A 3,119-nucleotide genomic window follows, 5' to 3' on the forward strand; every position below is an offset into this window, starting at 1 on the left:
GGGAAATGGATGGAAGTTACAAAAAAGTAAATTTTAGCTGAATATAAGAAGAAAATTTTAGCAATCAGTCCCATCTAGAGTTTTGTTGTTGTTGTTGTTGTTGTTGCTGCTGCTGCTGTCGGAAAAAAAAAAAAAAAAGCTCTTATGAGAGATGAGGAATCTCCATCATTGGAGATATTTTTGATTAAGCCTTAAAAACATTTATTATGTCCAGGAGAATCAAGCTTAAGTTGGACTGGATGAATTAGCTGAAATCTTAAAATCTACAACTCTACTTATTATGCTGACGCTAGGTAGTATATTAGAAGAAAACATGAGAACAGCTCAGAAGGCACCAAACGATTTTAATCTGAAGTGTTAAAGTAAATGTCAGAGGGAAGTTTAGTAAAATAAGTAACTGGAGGGATAGCATTAGGAGAAATACCTAATGTAGATGACGGGTTGATGGATGCAGCAAACCACCATGACACATGAATACCTATGTAACAAACCTGCACGTTCTACACACGTACCCCAGAACTTAAAGTATAATAAAAAAAGATTAAAATGTTTGTCATAAACTTTGCCAAACTGTAAAAATCACTTTCAGCCATCATATTTGACCTACTTATAAAATAAAAATAAACCTGTACTTATTTGTAGAATTAATTTCCCTTCATTCAAAATACGAATGTAGGAAATCACTTATGAGACACTGATGGAAAGAAAGGCAATATGAAATCTGAAAGGTCATTGGTCTTATTTTGTATTCCTATATCATAAAATCCACTGTCTTTTGTTAGATAGTCATAGCATGTGAATATGTACTGTGACACTTCTTAAGTGCTACAGGGATGACCACTTTGGGTCATCTGTCCATGTATATACAGTAAATATATATATATATGTATTACATACATAATACATTATATACATATGCATTTTTCTATGTATGTTGTTCATAACATCAGTACACGTCAGGTCATTCTATAATGCAGGTATATGTTACTAGAAATAACTTGACATGTACCCTCGTTACAAACAACATACATAGAAAAAATACATATGTGTGTAAATGTTAAAATTATGTCAAAGAGTAAATATTAGGCTGAGCATGGTGGTTCATGCCTGTAATTCCAGCACTTTGGGAGGCTGAGGCAGGAGGATGACTTGAATCTAGAATTTTGAGACCAGCCTGGGCAACATAGAGAGACCCCATTTCTACAAATAAATTTAAAAAATTAGCTGGGCATAGTAGCACACATCTCTGGTCCTAGCTACTCTGGAGGCTGAGGCAGGAGGACTCAGTAAGCTGGGAGTTCAAGGCTTTAGTGAGCCTAGATCACACCACTGCACCCCAGCCTTGGCGACAAAGTGAAACCTTGTCTCAGAAATAAATAAATAAATAAATATTACATTAGTGTTCCCCTTATTAATATGGAAAATTTTGAGGATATAAGCCATGTCTGTATTGTTTATTATTGTATCTTCAACATCTAAAGTAGCATCTGGTACAAGGTAAATGAAAAATAATTATTTGGTAATAAACACAAGAGTAAAGTGACATATGTGGTGTGTAGACACACACATATAGTGCACAAAAGAGGGGTATTATTGTAAGTAGTAGTTCTTCATCATGACTTAGTTGTATTTATTTAGTTTTAGAGTAATTTGTTTCCTCTAAATTAACAAGGTCTTTTCCAGGCAAGAAAACAAATGTCAGCTTCCTATGAGTGACCACTGATGCTTCACTTTTAGCTAAAATAATAGGAAGAAGAAACGATCTTGGTCATGTCGGCCTATATTTTTAAGATATTTTGTTAGTAAAATATTTTAGATGCTATGGAGAATTAGGAAAAAAAATCTCTTGAGTAAAGAATGGAAAATTTATAACCAAATGTTGAGTCTGTATGAAAGTCCATAATGAGATCGTTTCTGTGGTAATGAGCTTTAGGTGAGCTTTATACTTTTGCCCCCCAGTGTCTTCGTACTCCACCCTTTGCCATCACCTCTGGAGCCAACGTAATTTTGCTCCATATAAATCACTCTCATTAGGTGAACTAGGTTGTGTTGATGAGTGCAGCTTGAACTAGATTTATAAAGTGACAGAAAGGTAGAATTCTCAATTTATTCCAATATTTTGTATGATCTTCTAGGAACAGCTTTATGATGTGGTAATTGGGCAATAGTTCAGCATTCTGATAGCCCCGGGAGATTCAATTCCACAGTAACAAAAGATATTTAAAAAGTATATCTTTTTATTTAAAGAGTATACTGAACATCAATGCATTTATTTTACTTTTCTTAAAAATCTGAGAAATACTTCAATATCTGTATTTTTTAATCTTTTTATTCAATATTGTTCAAGCTTGGAGCACTGACTCACCAAAGGGTGATGTAGGAGGCGTCAAGCTCCACTGGGCTAGCTAAGTTCTGTACATCACTGATTACTACCCTGATGACTTCTCTATTCAGGCCCGGAAGTCAGATTTGCCTCTTTGTAAGGAAACCGCAGGACTGACAGCACACAATGAATCATGCCTAACAACATGCTGACAAGCTGGCAAGAGACAGCCTGTACAGTGACAAATACAGGTGACAACAAGTGTAAACATCTGTTTGGTAGAATTTATGAGAAAAGAATACAAACAAGGAGACTTGTTCTTTCATTTTATAAGAGAATTTAGAGACTCTTTCCTTTCTATTCAATAGCAGCAACGTAAGGAATACATATTAGCCCTCAAGATTTATTTATTACAAGCACAACTAGATTATAAATGGTCTGTGCAGATTAGCATTTTGATTATCAAACCGCTGTTCCAAATATCTGATGAACAGATATTAGAATAGTTCTTAAACATACTGATTAAACACACATTGATGCTGCTATTTTTAACACTTGCTTATATTCAGGGGTAAATCAGCTTCCTTAAAGCTTAAAGTGAAAAATATAAAAGATATGTAACCCTACCAGTCATTTCTCAGGGAGACAAAGATCCAAATCCTCACTTTTGATTCAATATTGGGGATTAAATAAACAATTTTTAAAAGGAGGTCAACAGATTAACATGTCCATTATTACGTGTTCAAATAGCTTATGCAGTAATCAAATTTTTCATTTCACCATCAGCCTGTCATTC

At 34.3% G+C, this 3,119-nt stretch overlaps 1 annotated feature.

The window, feature by feature from the left end:
* Positions 1,920–3,119: an enhancer, noted in NCBI's record as "P300/CBP strongly-dependent group 1 enhancer chr9:76483827-76485026 (GRCh37/hg19 assembly coordinates)". NCBI's record gives its function as "activates an origin of replication core promoter dependent on BRD2, BRD4, P300/CBP, MED14 and CDK7 cofactors, with strong dependence on P300/CBP, by STARR-seq in HCT116 cells {active_cell/tissue: HCT116}" and the evidence as "EXISTENCE:reporter gene assay evidence [ECO:0000049][PMID:35650434]".

Source organism: Homo sapiens, chromosome 9 (genome assembly GCF_000001405.40).
Source record: "Homo sapiens chromosome 9, GRCh38.p14 Primary Assembly".
NCBI lineage: Eukaryota > Metazoa > Chordata > Mammalia > Primates > Hominidae > Homo > Homo sapiens.